General features: G+C 44.8%; 1 protein-coding gene across 1 annotated transcript in view, besides 2 other annotated features; it reads right to left on the bottom strand.

Moving 5' to 3' along the window:
* METTL2B (methyltransferase 2B, tRNA N3-cytidine) overlaps positions 1-19,192 on the bottom strand; it is a 29,855-nt gene extending 10,663 nt beyond the window's left edge. The window contains exons 1-6 of the mRNA NM_018396.3: positions 19,065-19,192; positions 18,767-18,858; positions 16,427-16,782; positions 15,244-15,293; positions 7,779-7,839; positions 1,997-2,136 (exon numbers count right to left, since the gene is read on the bottom strand). Coding sequence (NP_060866.2) covers positions 1,997-2,136; positions 7,779-7,839; positions 15,244-15,293; positions 16,427-16,782; positions 18,767-18,858; positions 19,065-19,174 — 809 coding nt within the window. The 5' untranslated portion in view covers positions 19,175-19,192. The remainder of the gene's footprint in view (positions 1-1,996; positions 2,137-7,778; positions 7,840-15,243; positions 15,294-16,426; positions 16,783-18,766; positions 18,859-19,064) is intronic.
* Positions 18,916-19,085: an enhancer, noted in NCBI's record as "active region_26601". NCBI's record gives its function as "activates an Ori minimal core promoter by ATAC-STARR-seq in GM12878 lymphoblastoid cells {active_cell/tissue: GM12878}" and the evidence as "EXISTENCE:reporter gene assay evidence [ECO:0000049][PMID:35858748]".
* Positions 19,306-19,355: an enhancer, noted in NCBI's record as "active region_26600". NCBI's record gives its function as "activates an Ori minimal core promoter by ATAC-STARR-seq in GM12878 lymphoblastoid cells {active_cell/tissue: GM12878}" and the evidence as "EXISTENCE:reporter gene assay evidence [ECO:0000049][PMID:35858748]".

The following is a 24,139-nucleotide window of genomic DNA, read 5'->3' as shown; positions in this document are numbered from 1 at the left end:
AATGAGGAGATGTTTGAAGTCTCTAATCTCATGATTTCATGGGTATAGTTTACCCTAACATTTGCCAACCCCCAGGCTGTCCAGACTCACTGCACTCTGGCAGTGACAAGGGCTTCCATGGAATTAGTCCACGGTATCTGAATCTCTTAGCCACCATCTGACTCTGCTTCCTTGAGAAGATAGTTTTGGTCAGGTGCAGTGGCTCATGCCTGTAATCCCAGCACTTTGGGATGCCGAGGTGGGTGGATAACTTGAGGTCAGGAGCTCAAGATCAGCCTGGCCAACATGGTGAAACCCCATCTCTACTAAAAATACAAAAAATATTAGCCAGGTGTGGTGGTGCTTGTCTGAATCCCAGCTGCTCAGGAGGCTGAGGCAGGAGAATCGCTTTAACCTGGGAGGCAGAGCTTGCAGTGAGCCAAGATCTCACCACTGCACTCCAGCCTGGGCAACAGAGTGAGACTCCATCTCAGAAAAAAATAAAAAAAAGAGAGAAGGTAGTTTCATAGGACCACTGGTTACCTATGCATATGAAGTTTTAATGGTGTATTTTAGGATATAGCATTTGACTTTCCTTTAATCAGAATCTGATTTTATAGAATTCTGTATCACAGTTTTCTAAAACACTGTAAGCATCAGAGAACACCTTAGTTAAGGTTCAATGTAAATTTCGTGTTGCTAATAAGGTTGTTTTATTTAAAGCATTTAAAAGGCCAATAGGCTGGGCGTGGTGGCTCACGCCTGTAATCCCAGCACTTTGGGAGGCCGTGGCAGGCGGATCATGAGGTCAGGAGTTCGAGACCAGCCTGGCCAACATGGTGAAACACCATCTCCACTAAAAAAAAAAAAATACAAAAATTAGCCAGGCATGGTGGCATACACCTGTAATCCCAGCTGCTTGGGAGGCTGAGGCAGGAGAATTGGTTGAACCCGGGAGGTGGAGGTTGCAGTGAGCCAAGATCTCATCACTGCACCCCAGCCGGGGCAACAGAGCAAGACTCCGTCTTCAAAAAAAAGGCCAGCGTGGTGGCTCACACCTGTAATCCCAGCATTTTGCGAGGTTGAGGCAAGCAGATCACAAGGTGAGGAGTTAAGACCAGCCTGGCCAACATGGTGAAACCCCGTATCTACTAAAAATACAAAAATTAGCCAGGCATGGTGGCGGGTGCCTGTAATCCCAGCTACTCGGGAGGTTGAGGCAGGACAATTGTGTGAACTGGGGAGGCGGAGGTTGCAGTGAGCCTAGATCACGCCATTGTATTCCAGCCCGGGCAACAGGGCGAGACTCTGTCTCAAAAAAAAATAAAATAAAATGAAAGGCCAATAATGAGACATTACCTGAAAGCTGTGACACCCACAGTTCACAGTTCTAAAACGGCATGTGATGAGATTATCAATAGGAATTTCCCCACATACTCATTAGAGACTGATTTCCCATTCTTTCCCAATGTTGAGCCACAACAAGGAAATGAAGAACCAACTACTGCAGAAGTTTCGAGGCCAGAACAGAAGTTGGACATCAAGACAAATTTAGGAAAATAGTTGAGATGCTCACATCACTACAAATGGTGTGGCTTCTTTGTGTCTATCAGAACATAAACAACTCTTTTTACTTCGAGCCCAACTCTAATATCAAGGTCTCTTGCCAGGCTGGGCATAGTGGCTCACACCTATAATCCCAGCACTTTGGGAGGCCAAGGTGGGAGGATTGCTTGAGCCCAGGAATTCAAGACCAGTCTGGGCAACATGGCAAAACCCCATCTCTGCTAAAACACAAAAATTAGCCAGGACTGGTGGCACGTGCCTGTGGTCCCACCTACTTGGGAAGCTGAGGAGGGAGGATCATTTAAGCTCAAGAGATTAAGGCTGCAGTGAGCCATGATCGTGCCACTGCACTCCAGCCTGGGCTGACGGAGCAAGACCCTATTTTAAAAAAAAAGGTCCCTCACCAAAGCTTTCTTTTTGTGACACTACCAGCTAAGGGACCCAAACTTACTTGTCTGGAACAACTGCTGAAAGAACAAATATGAGAATGATAATATCAAGACTGCCCTTGGGCACTGGGTAACTCTTCTCTTCATCACACAGGTCGTGAACAAAGGCAAAACACCGAGAAGGATCATATTCTGAATTTGTCTGCAGACAGGTGGAAGAGACAAGTAAGTTAGAAAATATTAACATAGCCCAAAGAAAAGATTATCTTGTTTTAAATTTTAAATGTAACTGTTGCTACTTCACGAAGAGGGATCTATTTCTTTTTTCTTTTTTTTCTTGAGGCAAAATCTCCCCATGTTGCCCAGGCTGGCCTCAAACTGTTGGGTTCACGCGATAGGATCACTTGCCTCACCCTCCAGAGTAGGGGATATATTTCTAATCATTATATAGATTGGTGAAAAAGTAATTGTGGTTTTTGCTATTGAAAGTAATGGCAAGGATGTGGTGGCTCATGCCTGTAATCCCAGCACTTTGGGAGGCCAAGGCGGGAGGACCACCTGAGATCAGGAGTTCGAGAGCAGCCTGACCAACATGGAGAAACCCCATCTCTACTAAAAATACAAAATTAGCTGGGTGTGGTGGCGCATGCCTATAATCCCAGCTACTCGGGAGGCTGAGGCAGGAGAATCGCTTGAACCCAGGAGGCAGAGGTTGTAGTGAGCCGAGATTGTACCATTGCACTCCAGCCTGGGCAATAAGAGTGAAACTCCGTCTAAAAAAAGAAAAGAAAAAAAAAAAAGTAATGGCAAAAACGACAATTACTTTTGCATCAATCTAATAGCATGTTATTTCAGGGAGGACTCAAAGAGTAAAGATCAGGAATAATTGAAGGGAGACAGTGAGGAATCTAATAGTTGCGTTTAAAATAGAACATTCCTGACTCCCCTACTTTTATTCTTTATTCTTGTGTACTTTCTGTACTTCTCATGCATGAAGTCAGATCTAAGAATTGGAAAACGATCATGAAAATGAGTGACCAACAGGGAAAAAAAAAAACATTCATAAGGAGAGAGACAGCACATACTTTAAATAAGCACGCAGTGGCTCACGCCTGTAATCCTAGCACTTTGGGAGGCCGAGGCGCGCAGATCATGAGGTCAGGAGATGGAGACCATCCTAGCTAACATGGTGAAACCCCGTCTCCACTAAAAATACAAAAAATTAGCCGGGTGTGGTGGCAGGTGCCTGTAGTCCCAGCTACTCGGGAGGCTGAGGCAGGAGAATGGCGTGAACCCGGGAGGCGGAGCTTGCAGTGAGCCGAGATCGCACCACTGCACTCCAGCCTGGGCAACAGAGGGAGACTCCGTCTCAAAAACAAAAACAAACAAACAAACAAACAAACAAACAAACCAAAAGCACGATCTGCTAGGCACAGTGGATCACGCCTAGAATCCCAGCACCCTGGGAGGCTGAGGCAGGAGGATCACTTGAGCCCAGGAGTTTGAGACCAGCTAGGCAACATAGTGAGACTTCATCTCTACAAAAAATAAAAAAATGCCAGGTGCAGGCCTGTAATCCTAGCACTTTGGGAGGTCGAGGTGGGCGGATTACCTGAGGTCAGGAGTTCAAAACCAGCCTGGCCAACATGGTGAAACCCCGTCTCTACTAAAAATACAAAAAATTAGCTGGGTGCAGTGGCACCCGCCTGTAATCCCAGCTACTCTGGAGGCTGAGGCAGGAGAATCGCTTGAACCTGGGAGGCGGAGGTTGCAGCGAGCCGAGATCACGCCACTGCACTCCAGCCTGGGCGACAGAGCTAGACTCCATCTCAAAAAAAAAAAAAAATTAGCCAGGTGTGGTGGCATGTGCCCGTAGTCCCAGTTACACAGGAGGTGGGAGAATCACTTGAGCCCAGGAGATCAAGGCTGCAGTCAGCTTGATTGTACCACTGCACTCCAGCCTGAGTGACTGAGACCCTGTCTCAAAACAAACAACAAAGTACACGATTCAAAACAACTCCCAACTAGAAAATATTACACAAACCATAGAATTCTTCAGGAAAATCTATTTCTGTAGATGTAGAAAATTTACTTTGTTATCAAAAACTGAAGTAAAGATAGGCTTCAATATTCATTTGGTCTTTAACTGCATGAATAATTCTAAAAGCATGGCACTACCAATTCCTAATCTGCCCTAACAGCATTATACATAATTGTGACAGACCCTTTTTTTTTTTTTTTTTTGAGACAGAGTCTTGTTCTGTTGCCCAGGCTGGAGTGGTGCGATCTCAGCTCACTGCAACCTCTGCTTTCCCAGGTTCAAGCAATTCTCCTGCCTCAGCCTCCCCAGTAGCTGGGATTACAGGTGCATGCCACCACGTCCTGCTAGTTTTTGTATTTTTTTTTTTTTTGAGATAGAGTTTCGCTCTTGTAGCCCAGGCTGGAGTGCAATGGCGTGATCTTGGCTCACTACAACCTCTGCCTCCCAGGTTCAAGCGATTCTCCTGCCTCAGCCTCCCGAGTAGCTGGGACTACAGGCACCTACCACCATACCTGGCTAATTTTTGTATTTAGTAGAGATGGAGTTTCACCATATTGGCCAGGCTGGTCTGGAACTCTTGACCTCAGATGATCTGCCCGTCTTAGCCTCCCAAAGTGCTGGGATTACAGGCATGAACCACTGCACCCGGCCTAGTTTTTGTGTTTTTTAAAGTAGAGACAGGGTTTCACCATGTTGGCCAGGCTGGTCTTGAACTCCTGACCTCAAGTGATCTGCCCACCTCAGCCTCCCAAAGTGCTGGCCACCACGCCTGGCCAATTGTAACAGACACATTTTTTTTTTTTTTTTTTTGAGATGGAGTCTTGCTCTGTCACCCAGGCTGGAGTGCAGTGGCACGATCTCGGCTCACTGCAACCTCTGCCTCCTGGGTTCAAGCGATTCTTCAGCCTCCCAAGTAGCTGGGACTACAGGTGCGTGCCACCATACCCAGCTAAATTTCATATTTTTAGTAGAGACGGGGTTTCACCATATTGGTCAGGCTGGTATCGAACTCCTGACCTCATGATCCGCTGGCCGTGGCCTCCCAAAGTGCTGGGATGACAGGTGTGAGCCACTGCACCCAGCCATAACAGATACATTTTAAGGCATCTACCCTCAATGTCCATCTTCTCCAAATATGTGAGTTTGTTTCTCATTGGCCAAAGCTGATTCAAACAGGGCTGCTGTATTTATCAGCTAGGTTGTGTTAACTAGACTTTCCAGGGACTTCAGAACTGGGACACAATCATTTTAGTGAGGCACCATGAACCCCTGAACAGGGTGAGCTTGTAAGGGACTGGAAGAAGCAAGCACGTTGGGGCCACGTGCAAAACTAGGAAATACTGACTAGAGAAAACTGGTATGCAAAGAGGGAAAAAACAAATGGGCCCTGGACAATGAGAGGTAAGATACCAGGAACTTGGGGCTGTATTTTGTGCCCTTAGGTTCTATGACATTCTACTTTATTGCTTTGAGTTTGTCTAGATGTTTCTGTTACTTGTAACTCAAAGAACCCCAATGGAATCATCTCATCAGGTTCGCCTGAGCCCAAAATTCAAGGCTACAGTGGGCTATGATTGTGTCACTCTACTTCAGCCTGGACAACACAGTGAGACCCTGTCTCAAAAAAAAAAAAAAAAAAGTGAAGCCTGAAGATGTAACTGAATTGCTGCAATCTTGTTGCTTCTTCTTTTTTAGTCTTATTCTTTCTTTCTTTCTTTCTTTCAACCAGCATCCTTATCTATAAGGAGTTGCTTCTTACGGTTGGGCAAAGAAAGTGGTTTATTGAGATCAAATCTACTCCAGAAAAGATGCTATGAACATTGTTTTGAAATGGCAAGAAAGGTTTTTTGTTTTGAAATGGCATCAAACTTAGTTGATAAAGCAGCAGCAGGGTTTGAGAGAATGGACTTCAATTTGAAAGAAGCTCTACTGTGGGCAAAATCCTATCAGCATCGCATGCTACAGAGAAATCTTTCATGAAAGGAAGAGCCAATTGATATGGTAAACTTCATTGTTACCTTATTTTAAGAAATTGCCGGCCGGGCGCGGTGGCTCACGCCTGTAATCCCAGCACTTTGGGAGGCCGAGGCGGGCGGATCACGAGGTCAGGAGATCGAGACCATCCCAGCTAAAACGGTGAAACCCCGTCTCTACTAAAAATACAAAAAATTAGCCGGGCGTAGTGGCGGGCGCCTGTAGTCCCAGCTACTTGGGAGGCTGAGGCAGGAGAATGGCGTGAACCCGGGAGGCGGAGCTTGCAGTGAGCCGAGATCCCGCCACTGCAGTCCAGCCTGGGCGACAGAGCGAGACTCCGTCTCAAAAAAAAAAAAAAAAAGAAATTGCCAGTCACCCCAGCCCTTAGCAACCACTACCCCAGCCCTTGGCAATCACCACCCTGATCAGTCAGCAGCCATCAATATCAAGGCAAGACCCTCCACTAGCAAAGATTACAACTTACTGAAGGTTTAGATGATTATTAATATGTTTTAGCAATAAACTATTTTTTTTCTTTCTCCCTTTTTTTTTTTTGAGATGGAGTCTCACTCTGTCACCCAGACTGGAGTGCAGTGGCACGATCTTGGCTCACTGCAACCTTTGCCTCCCCAGTTCAAGCAATTCTCCTGCTTCAGCCTTTTGAGTAGCTGTGACTACAGGTGCCCACCACCATGCCTGGATAATTTCTTGTATTTTTCTTTAGTAGAGATGGGGTTTCACCATGTTGCCTAGGCCAGTCTTGAACTCCTGATCTCAAGTGATCTGTCTGCCTCAGCCTCCCAAAGTGTTGGGATGACAGGCGTTAAGCCATTGTGGCCAACCAATAACGTATTTTTATCTTTATTTTTATTTTTTTGAGATGGAGTCTCGCTCTGTCGTCTAGCTGGAGTGCAGTGGCGCGATCTCAGCTCACTGCAACCTCCGCCTCCTGAGTTTAAGTGATTCTCCTCCTGCCTTAGCCTCCTGAGTAGCTGAAATTACAGGTATGTGCCATTTTTTGTATTTTTAGCCCGGCTAATTTTTTTGTATTTTTAGTAGAGACGGGGTTTCACTTGGTCAGGCTGGTCTTGAACTCCTGACCTCGTGATCCACCCACCCTGGCCTCCCAAAGTGCTGGCATTACAGGCATGAGTCACCGCACCGGCATGCAATCGTATTTCATTAGTTTATGCAATTGTGTATTAAATTTAATAATTACAACACAAGTGTAAGCTATCATTCGAGACCAGCCTGGGCAACGTGGTGAAACTCTTCCTTTCACTTGAGCACACAGAGGACACTGTAGAGTATGAAGTGGCCTAATTGCAATATTGTGTCTTAGAGAACAAGGAGACCTGAGGAGAGGGAGAGAAATGGAATGGCAGGTTGGTGGGGCAGTCACAACACATGCATTTATTAAGTTGACCGTCTTACACAGATGTGATTTGTGGAACCCCAAACCAAGTACAACAGTAACGTCACACACTATAACATACATAATAGTAAAAAAGTCTGAAATATTCTGAGAATCACCAAAGCATGACACACAGACACTAAGTGAGCATATGGTGGTGGAGAAACGGCACTGGTAGGCTTGCTTGATGCAGGGTTGCCACAGACTTTCAATATATGAACAGATATGACATCTGTACAGTGTGATAAAGTGAACTGCAATAAAACAAGGTATGCTCGTTATCAGTAAATCTTTTACTTTTAGACCGTAAGAACACAGACCGTATAAGAACACAGCCAGAGACCTTGATTTTTAGGAGAACCTTTTCCCTTTAATCAGTGGAAATTACCAATAGGTAATTTCCCATCGTACTCACCTGGACCAGTTCTATAGCTGTGGAAGAAAAATCACAGCAATAAACAAAGAGTCCTGGGTCACTGAAATGGGCAGAAAAGACAAAACAATGAGACTACAAATCGAGCTATGTCTACTCTCATTCTTGTGTAGCACAGTTAAAATATCAAATGGGAAAAACTATCATTCATTCAAATAAACTGTATCTATTAGTCACAACATATTTCATTTTGGTTAAAATCCTTTTTGAATTATATCCTTTTGGAGGCTCTGTGGACATAGCTAATATGAAGTTTATAAAACAACCAGGGAGTTTCAAATCAATGTCTTCTCTTTTTCCACCTACAGAAATCCTACTTTTCCCTCAAATGAAGCCTTGCTTGATAGCACCACAAGAATTCTTTTTTCTTCGCTGAGCCACCTTGGCACTTTCTCCACACCAGGAACACATCTGTACCTGTCTGTTGGCCCCCACCACATAGTGAGTGAGTGCTTTCACAGCGGCGATTACATCTTTCGCTTATTAGTTCACCAAACACTACTGAGAGCCCACTATGCATTGTGTATTATCTTAGATGCTGAGGAGATAAAGATGAACACCACAAAATCCCTGTGCTTATTTTTCTTGGTATCCTCACTATCTAGCACAAGTCTCAGCACAAGGTAGCAACACAAAAAATGTTGATTTTAAAACCATCAAAATTGCTTCCAATTATGAAGCACATTATATATTTATTCTGAAGGCATCAAAATACAAAACAATTTGTAATGCCAGAATTCTTTTTGTTAGTACAGGTCTAAATAAAAATGGGAGAGGAGGAAGGCTGTATGCTTGCGTTTTAGAAACAACAGCCCAGAGCTCTTCTGCACTGTTGGGCTCATAATTTGAGTGAGACGCTGGGATTTTTGGGAGTATGCAATACCTCCAGCCTCTCAAAGGCATGGGCTCTGCTTCCTGCTGAACTGTTGACCTTTGGAGCAGACAACTTCTGGGAGGTATAATCAAGACTAAAAACCCGGGGAACTGCAGCATTTGCTATGGTAATCACTAGCTACCTGTGGCTACTTAAATTAAAAATTCAGTTTCTCAGTCCCATTAGATACGTTTCACACGTGGCTAGTGCCCACCATAAGGGAGAGTGAAGATGCAGAACATTTCCATCACTGCACAAAGTTCTATTCCACAGCACTGCTCCGAAAGCAGGGTCCATGCCTGTCCTGTTCTCGAATCAGCCAGGCAGCTGCATCTGCCGAGTACCCATTAAGGTCACGGGCTAAGTTCTATCAGACTCAGCTTCTGCTTTCTAAAAGACTCATTGCAGTCTTTGCCTCCTGGGTTCAAGTGATCCTCCTACCTCAGCCCCTCAAGTAGCTCGGATTACAGGTGCGCACCACCACACCCAGCTAATTTTTGTATTTTTAGTAGAGACGGGGTTTCACCATGTTGGCCAGGCTAGTCTCAAACTCCTGACCTCAGGTGATCCACCTGCCTCGGCCTCCCCAGGTGCTGGAATTTCAGGGGTGAGCCACCGCGCCTGGCAAGCGTTGTTTTCTTCTTCATGTTTTTCTTTTTTTTTTTGTGAGACACGAGGTCTTGGCTGTGTCACCCAGGCTGGAGTACAGTGGGACAATCTCAGCTCACTGCAGCCTCTGCCTCCCAGGTTGAAGTGATTCTCCCACCTCAGCCTCCTGAGTAGCTGGGACTACAGGTGCCCACCACCATGCCTTGTTAATTTTTGTATTTTTAGGAGAGACAGGGTTTCACCATGTTGACTAGGTTGGTCTTGAACTCCTGACCTTAAGTAATCTGCCCACCTTGGCTTCCCAAAGTGTTCAGATTACAGGCATGAGCCACTGTGCCTGGCCTCTTTGTGCTTTTCTTTTTTTTTTGAGACGGAGTTTTGCTTTTGTCACCCAGGCTGGAGTGCAATAGCGTGGTCTTGGCTCACTGCAACCTCCACTCCTGGGTCCAAGCCATTTTCCTGCCTTAGCTTCCTGAGTAGCTGGGATTACAGGCACCCACCACCACGCCTGGTTAATTTTTGTATTTTTAGTAAAGATGGGGTTTCGCCATGTTGGCCAGGCTGGGCTCGAACTCCTGACCTCAGGTGATCTACCCACCTTGGCCTCTCAAACTGCTGGGATTACAAGAGTGAGCCACCACGCCCGGCCTGTGCTTTTCTTTAAGTTTTCTACAGGTCATATAGTTGTCCCTTGGTATCCAGCTCAAGTCTCTTACACAATGGTGTCGGGTGTAGCATTTGCATACAACCCACACACATCCTCCTGCATACATTAAATCATCTATAACGCCTAATATAAATGCTATGTAAACAGTTATAGTTTTAAAAATTGTTGTTTTATTGATTTTTGAGACAGGGTCTTGCTCTGTCACCTGGAGTACAGTGGTGTGATCATGGCTCACTGCAGCCCCAACCAATCCTCTGGCCTCAGCCTCCAAAGTAGCTGAGACTACACGTGCATGCCAGCATGCTTGGCAATTTTTTTTTTTTTTTTTGAGACGGAGTCTCACTCTGTCGCCCAGGCTGGAGTGCAGTGGTGCGATCTCCGCTCACTGCAAGCTCCGCCTCCTGGGTTCATGCCATTCTCCTGCCTCAGCCTCCCGAGTAGCTGGGACTACAGGTGCCTGCCACCACGACTGGCTAATTTTTTTTTGTATTTTGAGTGGAGACGGGGTTTCACTGTGTTAGCCAGGATGGTCTCCATCTCCTGACCTTGTGATCTGCCCGTCTCGGCCTCCCAAAGTGCTGGGATTACAGGCGTGAGCCGCAGCACCAGGCGGCTAATTTTTTTGTAGAGACGGGGTCTCACTATGTTGTTCAGGCTCGTCTTGAACTCCTGGGCTCAGGTGATCCTATCTCCTTGGCCTTCCAAAGTGCTGGGATTATAGGCATGGGCCACTGCGCCTGGCCTATACTATTTATTTTCAATCCATGGTTGCTTGAATCCTCGGATGCAGAAAAGGTGAATATGAAGGGCTAAGAGTATTATTTTTAAAATCAGAGTCCTTAATTGGGCTCTGAGGATAGAACTGTATTTCAAAATAATTGATTTTCTCTATTTTACTTCATATACTTAAAATTAGCCCAAGATAAATCTATATAGAGATTTGTGCATTTGTAGAGTAGTGGTTGCTTAGGGCTAGAGATTGGGGGAAATTGGGAAATGGGGAGTGACTGCTAATGGGTATAGGGATTCTTTTTGGGGTGATGAAAATGTCCTGAAGTTGACTGCAGTGATGGCTGCACAACTCTGTGAATTAACTTAAAACCACTGTATTACAGCCGGGTGCGGTGGCTCACGCCTGTAATCCCAGCACTTTGGCAGGCCGAGGCAGGCAGATCACGAGGTCAGGAGTTCGAGACCAGCCTGGCCAACACAGTGAATCCTAAAAATACAAAAATTAGCTGGGTGTGGTGGCGGGCGCTTGTAATCCCAGCTACTCAGGAGGCTGAGGCAGGAGAATCGCTTGAAACTGGGAGGCAGAGGTTGCAGTGAGCCAAGATCGTGCCACTGCACTCCAGCCCGGGCGACAGGGCAAGATGCCACCTCAAAACCAAACCAAAACAAAACAAAAAACCAACCAAACAAAAAAACCACTGTATTACACACTTTATATCTCAATAAAGCTGTTATATATAAAAAGAAAACAAATGAAAAATACATTAGCCTGAGAAATGATCCTAAGGCTTTATCAGATACATTAAAAAAATATTAAGAACCCTGGCCTGGGCAACATGGCAAAACCCCATTTCTACAAAAAAGACAAAAATTAGCAGGGGTGGTGGCACACGCCTGTTGTCCCAGCTACTTGGGAGGCTGAGGTGGGAGGATCACCTGAACCCTGGAAGGTTGAAGCTACAGTGAGCTGTGATGGCACCACTGCATTCCAGCTTGGGTGACAGAAATCCTGTCTCAAAAAAAAAAAAAAAAAAAAAAAAAAAAGGATCTAGGCAATAGGGTAACTCAAGAAACATAAAAAGGCTGTAAAGACTGCAGAGTGGGCTGGGCATGGTGGCTCATGCCTGTAATCCCAGCACTTTGGGAGGCCGAGGTGGGTGGATCACCTGAGGTCAGGAGTTCGAGACCCGCCTGGCCAACATGGTGAAAGCTCATCTCTACTAAAAAGTACAGAAATTAGCCGGGTACAGTGGCACACACCTGTAATCCCAGCACTTTGGGAGGCTGAGGCGGGTGGATCACCTGAAGTCAGGAGTTCGAGACCAGCCTGACCAACATGGAGAAACCCCGTCTCTACTAAAAACATAAAATTAGCTGGGTATGGTGGCGCATGCCTGTAATCCCAGCTACTTGGGAGGCTGAGGCAGGAGAATCACTTGATCCCAGGAGGCAGAGGTTGCGGTGAGCCAAGATCGCACCACTGCACTCCAGCCTGGGCAACAAGAGCAAAACTCCGTCTCAATCAACCAATCAATCAATCAATAATACAAAAATTAGCTGGGCGTGGTGGTGGGCACCTGTAATCCCAACTACTCGGGAGGCTGAGGCAGGATAATTGCTTGAACCTGGGAGGCGGAGGTTGCGGCTAGCCGAGATCGAATCACTGCACTCCAGCCTGGGTGACAGAGTGAGACTGTCTCGAAAAAGACTGCAGAGTGAGGCAGCTGGACGATAACAACTAGGGAAGTTTTCTAGATGCTTCTGATCTGAATGTGAGGAAGGAAGGAAATAGAGTAGTAGAAACAAAGGACATTTTGGAAAGGTACGGAGTCAGGGGAAGACATGCAAGGTGTGACCAGTGCACTGAGGGATAAGAGGACATACTTTATAGGGCACACTCTTGTAGAGGACTTTGAAAACTATGCCCAACAATTTAAACCTGATTCACAGGCAGTAGAAAACATGCCAATTCTAAGCCAGTGAATTACATGAACAAGTGGGTTCTAGTAAGATACTGAACACAGCGATCTTATTTAAATGGCATAAAGAGGCTGTGGCAAAGATGCCATCTACATTCAGTTTTACATTCATTGATGATATTGATGATTAATGGCCATAACTTGAAGCTAAGTCAATCTCCCATTTGAGGTGGGTTCCTCAGACTGTAACTTCAAGAGTAGAACAATCTCTTTTCTTCAGTGTTAGTACTAGGACTTGCCATTTTCTTAGAAATTTCTGAGAACAAATTGTAGAAATATTTAAATGTATATTAGTAATGAGGCTAATGTTTTACTTAATCCTGTTAATGAATACTGTGGGCTAAATTGGCAAAGTATATATTATATGAAACCTTTGAGAAACAGTGGATTCCAGTAATGAATACAGAACTGGAATGTCATTTCCACAAGGGGTTTAAAAACAGCTATAGGGCCAGGAGCCATGGCTCACGCCTGTAATCCCAGCACTTTGGGAGGCTGAGGTGGGTGGATCACTTGAGGTCAGGAGTTCGAGACCAGCCTAGCCGACACGGCGAAACCCCATCTCTACTAAAAATACAAAAATTAGCTGGGCATTGTGGCGCATGCCTGTAATCCCGGGTATTTGGGAGGCTGAGGCAGGAGAATCGCTTGAACCCAGGAGGCAGAGGTTGCAGTGAGCCAAGATTACGCCACTGCACTCCAGCCTGGGCAACAGAGCAAGACTCCGTCTCAAACAAAACAAAACAGGTATGGTATAATAAATATATTTGGTGTTGGTCTTTGTGGTTCCAGGCACAGAGTTCCAAAAACCTTAAGAATTTCCTCAGCAGGCTGGGCGCGGCGGCTCACACATATAATCCCAGCACTTTGGGAGGCCGAGGCAGGTAGATCACCTGAGGTCAGGAGTCTGAGACCAGCCTGGCCAATGTGGTGAAACCCTGTCTCTACTAAAAATATAAAAATTAGTTGTGTGTGGTGGCATGCACCCTTAATCCCAGCTACTAGGGAGGCTGAGGCAGGTGAATCACTTGAACCCGGAAGGCGGAGGTTGCAATGAGTCGAGATTGTGCCACTGTACTCCAACCTGGGAGATGAAGCAAGACTCTGTATCTTTTGTTATTCATGATGAACTCCCTCAGGACCACACTGAATTTATGTTAATGAGATGACCTGGGGTGGGGCCAACACTAGTAAGGGCAAACTGATTGGAACTTTCAGCTTCACCCACCAATGTCCTGAATAGAAATGCAGATTATGTTGTATGAAAACTATTTTCTTCTTCTCCTTTTAAAATTAATTTTCCCATAAGTCTGTGTCCTAGCTGTATAAAAACTCTTGAGGCTGGGAACGGTGACTTATGCATGTAATTCCAGCACTTTGGGAGGCCGAGGCAAGAGGATCACTTGAGCCAGGAGTTTGAGACCAGTCTGGGAAACAAAGTGAGACCCTGTCTCTACAAAAAATAAACAAAAATTAGCTGGGTATGGTGGCATGTGTCTGTAGTCCCAGCTACTTGGGAGGCTGAGGTGAGACGATTGCTTGAGCCTAGGAGTTTGAGCCTGCAGTGTGCTATGGGCACACCACTGTGCTCTAGTCGGGATGACAGAACAAGAGCTTGTCTCAAAACTAAAAAAAAACCCTTGATGAGCTTCCAGGTTGGTGAACACATCCGTGTGCTAGGAGAACACTGCACTGAGCTCCTCAGGGTCAAAGCTCCTGAGCGTGAGATCCTCTGAACCCCACTCTAATTACTTCTTCAGCTGGCTGTTAATCTGTATCCTTCATAACAAACACATAAATGTAAGTAAAGTGTTTCCCTGAGTTCTGTGAGCCATTCTAGGAAATTATTGAACTGGAGACAGGGCTCCCCTGATTTACAGCCTGTAGGGCAGAAACACGGAGGGCCAGATTCACAACTGGCATCTGAAGTGGGGGGCAGTCTTCTGGGACCGAACCCTTAACTTGTGGGATCTGATACCAACTCCAAGTAGACAGTGTCAGAATTGAATTGTAGGACACCCAGCTGTTGTTGAATTGGTCAGTGTTGGCAAAAACCCTGCACATTTGGTGTCAGAAGCGTTCTGCTTAAGTACACAAAACCAGTGTGTTTTCATCAGAACAGGAGACATCTTCATGTATGATAGCTTTCTCAACTCTACCATGGGGGTAATGACAACTCAGCCACTGACTGTTCTTCAGAGATCATGAGAATGGAAAAGTTGAACACATTTGTTCCTTAGAAGAAGAAGAAGGCACTAAACGTTAACACTAGCAAGTTTTAAGTCTAATTTTCCAAATGATAAAGATAATCAAATTAAAACAATCCATAAATGAACAATGTAGAAATCTGAATCTGACATAATCCATATTTTCCAATAACCATTATTGATAGTTTGATGCAGCAAGTTTTGAAAAAATCTTTACTTTTTTTTCTTGCTACATTGCCCTGGCTGGTCTCACACTCCTGGCCTCAAGCAATCCTGCTTTGGCCTCCCAAAGTGCTGGGATTACTGTCGTGAAGCAATGCGCCCAGCCAACCTTCACTTTTATCTTCTTTGCTATCATAAACTTTTACAACATACTTACTTGTTCGTTTGTAAAATTGGAAAGACTGTGTTTCCCACACCACAGCCAACCTGCAGACAGAAATGAACTATTAATCACAGAACTTTCCAGAGTTAATTCCCGAAAGCTAGAAAAGCTAGAAAAATAATAATCAACAAGAATCTGGCCTAACTGTATTAGGGAAGGTGTAGTGACCAGAGCTAAACAGTACCCATGACATTTGTTGATTTTGATGTTGACTTCAGGAACCCTTAAAAGACAAGAACATGGGTTTTTATTAGCAGAAACGAGGTGGTCTAGAAAAAAGGGCAAGGATTGCTTTTATCTTTTGAGTTCTAGCAAATTGTCCTGTAGATGAAGTATTTTCTTACTAAGCTTATATTATTATTGTGAAAATATTTGTAATAGACTGTGCTGAAAAATGTATGAAAAGGGGACCTTGACAACCTTGTCCTAAACACAGTGCTGCGTGGTAATGAAGACAGCAACTATTTATTAAGGGCTTAACAATGTGCCAGATACTGTTCTTAGCCCTTTTACATACATTATCTCCATCCTCATAAGTATAAGGTGCAGAGGCAGCAGTCTCACTGCTCAGAGAGGGTAAGGAAATTGTCTAAGATCACACCATAGGACTCAATCCCAAGGCTAACCAGTTCCAGAACCAGCTTCCAGTAACGTGCGCAGTCCCCATTTATGAATTTACATTATACCAATCTAGACATTTTTCCAGGTCTAGACTCTGCAACACCATCCAAATGCAGAGGAAGAGAATTATCCCAGGCCTAAGAAACAGGCACCATCCTAACTACCCTCTCCATTCCTGTAACTGTATTAGAAGAGAAGCAACAATTTCTTCTGATCTGGGACATTTTTCCAGAGTTATAGCATGATCATGTTGAGCTCTTTCACCTGTATGATACAGTGTCATGTGACAGGTACAGCATGATGCTATTAATACAATTTTTGGAAGTGACATGCTATTCCCGTGTGATCTTTGTCTGTGATGACCACCAGATATCTGGTCTGCACTGAGGGCATTTTATCAGTTCAAAAATGGAGGTGATTCCAGGCTAATATAAGGGTCAAGTCTAGTCAGCATCATCCAATAGAAGTTACTTTTATTGTCAGCCTCTCTATGCTACCTCATGTGCACAAATATAATAGCTTCACATATCCCACTACCAAGACAATAAAAGGTTACCTCCAGTATTCGGTAGGTGGCTGAGGATCCAGGAAACTCATCAGCACAAATTTCCAGGTCACTAATTTTCTGAGTTACATTCTCCTCCACAGGAGGTGTCTGTGTTTTATGTTCAAGGCTCTTCGAAGAACACTTGTGCTGTTCTTCCATTATTAAACCAGGTCCATCCTCATTGTTTCTACATTCACATACTTCACTCTTGTTCTCCAAGAACCAATCCTTCAAATGATTTTGATTTTGGCTAGGTGCCAGCTCAGGGAATTCGGTAAAAAGCCAATGTCTATCCTTGAAAAACCCATTTTCGTGGATTTTGTAGAAGTCATTCCAGTATTTGTGGGCATTGATCTCATAATCAACTGTAAATATTTAAGAAAAAATTTTAAGAACCAGCTCTCAAATATTTTATTTATATCTAACGTCAATTATCCTGCTTTACCAAATGTCACTTTAATACTAAAATTATCCTCAGGTAGAGCCACAGTCCCAGAACTGAAGGCATTTCTGAGGTCATTTAGTCCTGCCATCTGGCATTATACCCAAATGCCCCATCCGTCATTATAGGAGTCTAAATTCTGTTTGAACAATCAACCAGAGAACTTACTATCTATCAAGTGTCCTCCTACATCTTTGGATGACTTTTTTTTCTTTTTGAGACAGAGTCTCGCTCTGTCACCCAGGCTGGAGTGCAGGGGCGCAATCTTGGCTCACCACAAGCTCCACCTCCCGGGTTCATGCCATTCTCCTGCCTCATCCTACTGAGTAGCTGGGACTACAGGCCCACGACCACGCCCGGCTAATTTTTTCTATTTTTTAGTACAGACGGGGTTTCACCGTGTTAGCCAGGCATGGTCTCAATCTCCTGACCTCGTGATCCACCCGCCTCAGCCTCTCAAAGTGCTGGGATTACAGGCATGAGTCATCGCGCCCAGCCAGATGACTTTTAACTATTAAAAAATCCTAGAAGTAGCCAGGTGCAGTGGCGCATGCCTGTAATCCCAGCACTTTGGGAGGCTAAGATGGGCGGATCACGAGGTCAGGAGATTGAGACCATCCTGGCCAGCATGGTGAAACCCCATCTGTACCAAAATACAAAAAATTAGCCAGGCATGGTGGTGCACACCTGTAGTCCCAGCTACTCGGGAGGCTGAGGCAGGGGAATCGCTTCAACCAGGGAGGAGGAGATTGCAGTGAGCTGAGATCGCGCCACTGCACTCCAGCCTGGTGACAGAGCGAGACTCCGCCTCCAAAAAAAAAAAAAAAAGTATGGACAGTTTAAATGAAGGCTGTTTTTAAGGTGATCATGACAGTCCCAGATTTCAGTTTACTGCTCTTGCCAGTTCAGGGGGCCTTGACTAGTGTAGTAGAAAGAATAAAAACCTAACAAATTGAGCAGGACGGTGACAATGGAAGTTGGAATCCACTAAGAAGTGTGTTAACAACTCACAACTCACCTGCTGAATCAACCAAGACTCCCTAAGAAACAGGATTTTAGTTCCACTACTGCTACTACTGACTGCTTACCTCTGGGAAAAGCACTTAATGTCCTGTGGTCCAAGTGTCTTTAACTATAAAAAGAGAATATTGAACCACATGATTTTCAAAATCCCTTTTAACTATTAACTTGCTTTGATCTAGTTGCTGTCAGACTATGCAGGGTGAATGTTTTGTAACTGGAACCTTTTTGTTGTACAGAACTCTTTCAGCAGGTACTAAATTTGTAGTGCTATCTTCAATTGTCTGGAACAATCAGTCCTAGTTTTACTATCTAGGGATATTTTGCAGTGAAATCATCAACCTCTCAAGCAGGGGCCTCCTTTTCTTTGGCCAGACTTATCTCCACTCTGCTGCATCCACCTTTCCTTGACTGAAGCCCTAAATTCTCATAACCATCACACAAGTAATAGACACACAGTCACCAGTCATTAGCCCCCCTCCCAACAATATTTAGAATCTAATCACTTAAATGAAGCTTCAATGGAAACATCTCCTCATGGAAAATGCAAATCATGTAAAAAGTACAGGTTCTAAGATGATCGCGTGACCACACAGTTGTCATTGGCTAGCCATATCAACGTGGATCTACTCAACATAATTAAAGACAAAATTACCCTCCTCCAAAGTAAAACTATATATTAAAAAAACCCTCTACGACTTAAGATTTTGTTACAATGCAGCCCTTTTCCCTCCTTGCTCATCCCCTCCCTGTCCTGCTCTACTCCTGAGATCCGCATCAGGCCAGGAATAAAGGATGTGGGCGGCCGCGGTTCCCTGGCCTCTCCGGGAGGGCGCGTTCGGCAGTACGCTGGCTGTTGATACCAACGAGAGCCCATTTAAGCGCACCTTGTTTCTCCTGGCACACCCGCTGGATACTGTTCTCCTGGACTTTTCTCTCCGCCGCCGCGGCTTGCTCTTCCGACCACTCCACATTGTCCCTGAGAAAATCAAACGGGCAGCTTAGGGGCTTCACGTCCTGGCTGCGAGCAGGGTGAGTCGCTGGCCTAGGAGTTTCTCTCCCCTTGGAGAGTGCCTCGGGTAGGGCAGCTTGACTCGTGGCCGGCGGTCAGGGGCTTTTCGGAATGCTCCGAGGCGGCGGGACAGACGGCCAGCGACAGGCCGGGCGAGGGGGCAGGGTGATTACCAGGCATTGTGGTGGAAGACGCGCGCCGGATCGCTCAGGAACCGGCTTCCGAACTGCTGCCTCTTATCGGCGAGGATTGCAGGTGCACCTTCAGGGTAGGAGCCGGCCATGACACCGGAGCCGGAAACACTTCACTTTCCGTAACGCGAGAACTTCCTGCGGGCCACGCCCTCTTTCAGAAGACGTGGAGTCTGGGCGGGAAAAAGGGTGGCGGGACAGGGCGGTCCTGGAGTCTGGTCCGGGTGGCGCTCGGGAGCTGTCGTTTGGGGCTTTCCCAGGGTTGGCGAAGGGCTCTCTAGGGAAGGGGACCAGGCAGGGGGAAATTCTCCCCGGAGGAGTCGTATCTCATTGATGAGGTGCTGATGGACGTGCAGGTTAGGCAGAAAGTGGGAGACATTCCACTTGAGGCCCAGTTCATTGCTGGGATCCTCTTAACAGGTTCCCCAGCTTCCCTCAAGTTGTAAAACAGGAATAATCTTGAATCATTATAAGAGTTGAGGCTACCTAGTTCCACTGCGGAGCCGATGTCCAGAACTGAAGAAGGTAGCAAGCAGCGGAAAGAAACAGGGCAATTTCCAGCTTCTATAGTCAGCTCTTCATAGTGTGGGTGTATATGTATACACAGTGTGTATATATATTTTGGTTGGGGTGGGGGAGATGGATATATGAAATTAGAGAACACGAGGCTTAGCAAATCAAATGGAATATCCAAGGACAATTTTTTTTTAATTATAACCATCTAACCTTTTTGAATCATCCATATTATATTTATTATAATTATCCTTATTAGCACAATTAAGATTGTAATACACACATACAGTTTGTCATAGTAATACATTTCAGCCTTACATTTCTATTTCTAGATCTAATACAAATAGACTCTCAAAAGAATCTAGAAGAAAGTATGTTATAGACATAAGGTTATTTGAGAAGACTTCCAAGAGAAGCATGATGAATACCACTTGGAAAAGAAGGAAAGGGCAGAGACCAAACAAGGACCAGCCCAATATCTCTTGGACTTTATTTAATGTCATAATGTCAGAATAAAGGGAAAGATGAATTTTTTTAAAAAAGGAAAGGGTTAGTGCAGTGCTAGACATAGCACATTGGTAATTAGTACTTTTTTTTTTTTTTTTTTGAGACGGAGTCTTGCTCTGTTTCCCAGGCTGGAGTGCAGTAGCTGGATCTCAGCTCGTTATAACCTCCATGTCCTGGGCTCAGGTGATTCTCCTGCCTCAGCCTCCTGAGTAGCCGGGATTACAGGTGCGCGCTACCACACTCGGCTAATTTTTGTATTTTTAGTAGAGATGGGGTTTCACCATGTTGCCTGGGCTGGTCCTGAACTCCTGACCTCAAATGATCTGCCCACCTCGGTCTCCCAAAGTGTTGGGATTACAGGTGTGAGCCACCGTGCCCAGCCAGTAATTGTTTATTCCATTGTAAATTCTTTCTGTAGGTAAAACTACAGGGAGCAATGAATGATTCTATACTTTTCCTCCAAAGAAATGGGAACAAGCTCTAAGCCTCTCTAATCAGGAAGAAAAATACACAAGTTAATCAAAAAGATAGTAAAGAAGTTGTACTTCATTTGAAGACAATATGCTTTTGCCATTCTTGTGGTCTTTGGAAACATTTTGAACACAAGCTCCATACCCAGAAACAAGTACAAGGAATTTTTATCTTTTCTCAAGGCCAGCTGTTTGCAGATATGGTGGTTGATTTACATTTATTTCTGGCATCTTGTTTTCTCATCTGTGGGCTTTTATTCTCCCCTCACTAAAAGCTGTTAGTGTTCCCAATCAACAGTCCCACTGGATATTTTCTTGCAGACAGCTCATTGTCTTCACTTGAATTTACTATATTAGTTCCAATGGAGACATTTTAAATGTCAAACAGCTTTGGCCTTTTTTCTATGAAATGTGCTAAAGTATCCTAAACTTAATTTTATTTTTTATTTTTATTTATTTATTTATTTATTTATTTTTGAGACGGAGTCTCGCACTGTCTCCCAGGCTGGAGTGTAGTGGCGTGATCTCGGCTCACTGCAAGCTCCCTACTTCCCGGGTTCACGCCATTCTCCTGCCTCAGCCTCCCGAGTAGCTGGGACTACAGGCACCCGCCACCATGCCCGGCTAATTTTTTGTATTTTTAGTAGAGATGGGTTTTCACCATGTTGGCCAGGATGGTCTCAATCTCCTGACCTCATGATCCGCCCACCTTGGCCTCCCAAAGTGCTGGGATTACAGGAGTGAGCCACCGCGCCCGGCCTAAACTTAATTTTATACAATTATATTTGATTGGCCTGTAAAACCTATTTTTCGAAGCACCTAAAATAATTTTGCATAAGTTTGACATGGCTGTGAGTTCTCTGGTGTCAGACTTTATACTGGATTGTAGCTTCAGAAACGCCACGTTTCAGAGGAACTAAGGGTCCCTCTGGTGGTAAGTAAGGAGAACTCTTATAGCTCAGTGGGTGGCATGGGTTTAATGCTTGTAAAGGTTAAAAACTCTCATTCTGGATTATTGCCTTAGGTTGTTAGCCAAGGACAAGGGTAGTTAATTGTTTTTTTTGTTTTTTTTTTGTTTTTTGGTTTTTGTTTTTTGAGACGAAGTCTTGCTCTGTCGCCCAGGCTGGAGTGCAGTGGCATGATCTCGGTTCACTGCAAGCTCCACCTCCCGGGCTCAAGCCAGTCTCCTGCTTCAGCCTCCAGAGTAGCTGAGATTACAGGCCACCGCCACCACACCCGACTAATTTTTGTATTTTAGTAGAGACGGGTTTCACAATGTTGGCCAGGCTGGTCTTGAACTCCTGACCTCAAATGATCCGCCTGCCTCAGCCTCCCAAAGTGCTGGGATTACAGGCATTAGCCACCCCACCCGGCCTTTCTTCTCCTTTTTTTCTTTGAGATAGGGCATCACTCTGTCACGCAGGCTGGAGTACAGTGGCACGATCACAGCTCACTGCAACCTCTGCCTCCCAGGCTCAAGTGATTCTCCCACATCAGCCAACAGAGAAGCTGGGACTAGAGGTTTGTGCCACCATACCCGGATAATTTTTGCATTTTTTGTGGAGACAGTGTTTTGCCATGTTGCCCAGGCTGGCCTCGAACTCCTGGTCTTGAGCAATCCTTCTGCCTCGGCCTCCCCAAGTGCTGGGATTACAGACATGAGCCACTGCACCTGGCCTGTGTTTTCTTATTGCAAAATAAATTTTTTATTATAGAACGTTTAGAAGATATCGATAAAACAAAAGAAAATACTTCTTCCCACCATTAATTTGACTCATTAATGCTTTGGCTTATATCATCCTAGTGCTTTCTAATTTAGTTATGTAAGTGACTTTACATTAAAATAGTTTCAGAACAAAATGCTTTGTGCTTTTTTTTTTAAACAATTACATTCATCTGGCCGGGCACGGTGGCTCACACCTGTAATCCCAGCACTTTGGGAGACCAAGGCGGGTGGATCACGAGGTCAGGAGTTCGAGACCAGCCAGACCAAGATGGTGAAACCCCCATCTCTACTAAAAATACAAAAATTAGGCTGGGTGTGGTGGCTCACGCCTGTAATCCCAGCACTTTGGGAGGCCGAGGTGGGCGGATCACGAGGTCAGGAGATCGAGACCATCCTGGCCAACATGGTGAAACCCCATCTCTACTAAAATACAAAAAATTAGCCAGGCGTGGTGGCACGCGCCTGTAGTCCCAGCTACTTAGGAGGCTGAGGCAGGAGAATCACTTGAACCTGGGTGTTGGAGGTTGTAGTGAGCCGAGACTGTGTCACTGCACTTCAGCTTGGGCGACAGAGCGAGACTCCTCACACACACACACACAAATAATAAATAAATAAATGATAAATAAATAAAATTAGCCGGGCACGGTGGTGGGTGCCTGTAATCCCAGCTACTCGGGAGGCTGAGGCAGGAGAATCGCTTGAACTCAGGAGTCGGAGGTTGCAGTGGGCTTAGATCGTGCCACTGCAGGCCAGCCTGGCAACAGAGCAAGACTCCATCTCAAACAACAACAACAACAACAAGAAAACCCAATTACATTCATCCATTTTAAGTGTACAGTTCAATACATTTTCATTAAATCTGTATTTGTGTAATCAGCGTCACAATCTAGTTTTAGAACAACGCCTTGAAGTTCTCCCATGCCACTTAGCAGTTGTAGTCTGCTTTTTAACTTAATAATAACTTGGGGACATTATTCTTTTGTTCAAAATATTCTTTTACAACATCACTTAATGTCCTTCTGGTATTGTTTTGTATAGCTATATCATGCTTTATTGGACATTTAGGTCACTTTAAGTTTCATACTATTAAAAATTTAACGGCTGGGTGCAGTGGCTCACACCTGTAATCCCAGCACTTTGGGAGGCCGAGGCAGGTGGATCACGACGTCAGGAGTTCAAGACCATCCTGGCCAGCATGATGAAACCCCGTTTCTACTAAAAATACAAAAATTAGCCAGGTATGGTGGTACGCACCTGTAGTCCCAGGTACTCGGGAGGGTGAGGCAGAAGAATCGCTTGAACCCTAGAGGCGGAGGTTTCAGTGAGCCAAGATCACGCCACTGCACTCCAGCCTGGGCGACAGAGTGAGACTCTATCTCAAAAAAAAAAAAAAAAAAAAAGAAAGAAAAAAAAATTCAACATGGTGTACATCTTTGTAATGAAATAATTTTGTACATTCATGATTATTTCTTTATGATTAATTTCTAGAAGAGGAATTGCCGAGTCAATGGTTATAATTAGCTCCATCACTAAGCTCCGTGAGGTTAAGTCATTTTACTTGTTTGTTAACTGTTATATGTCCAGGTCCTAGAACTAGGTCTGGCACACAGTATGCAACTCAGTAGATAATTGATGAATGAATGGATGGGTGTGTACCCTCTTGCTATACCATATTTCAGCACAGAGATGCCAATTTACACTGTCATCAACAGTGTGTGACAATTTAATAGAAAGAATGTATTGCTGTACATTTTAGATTTTCCAGGACAGATCCTACTAAAAATATTCTGCCCTGTTATCTCACTGATGCAAGGAAATATTCCAGGAATTGTAACATTTTG

This window comes from Homo sapiens, chromosome 7 (assembly GCF_000001405.40).
Source record: "Homo sapiens chromosome 7, GRCh38.p14 Primary Assembly".
Taxonomy (NCBI): Eukaryota; Metazoa; Chordata; class Mammalia; order Primates; family Hominidae; genus Homo; species Homo sapiens.
This window is presented reverse-complemented; position numbering and strand designations above follow the sequence as displayed.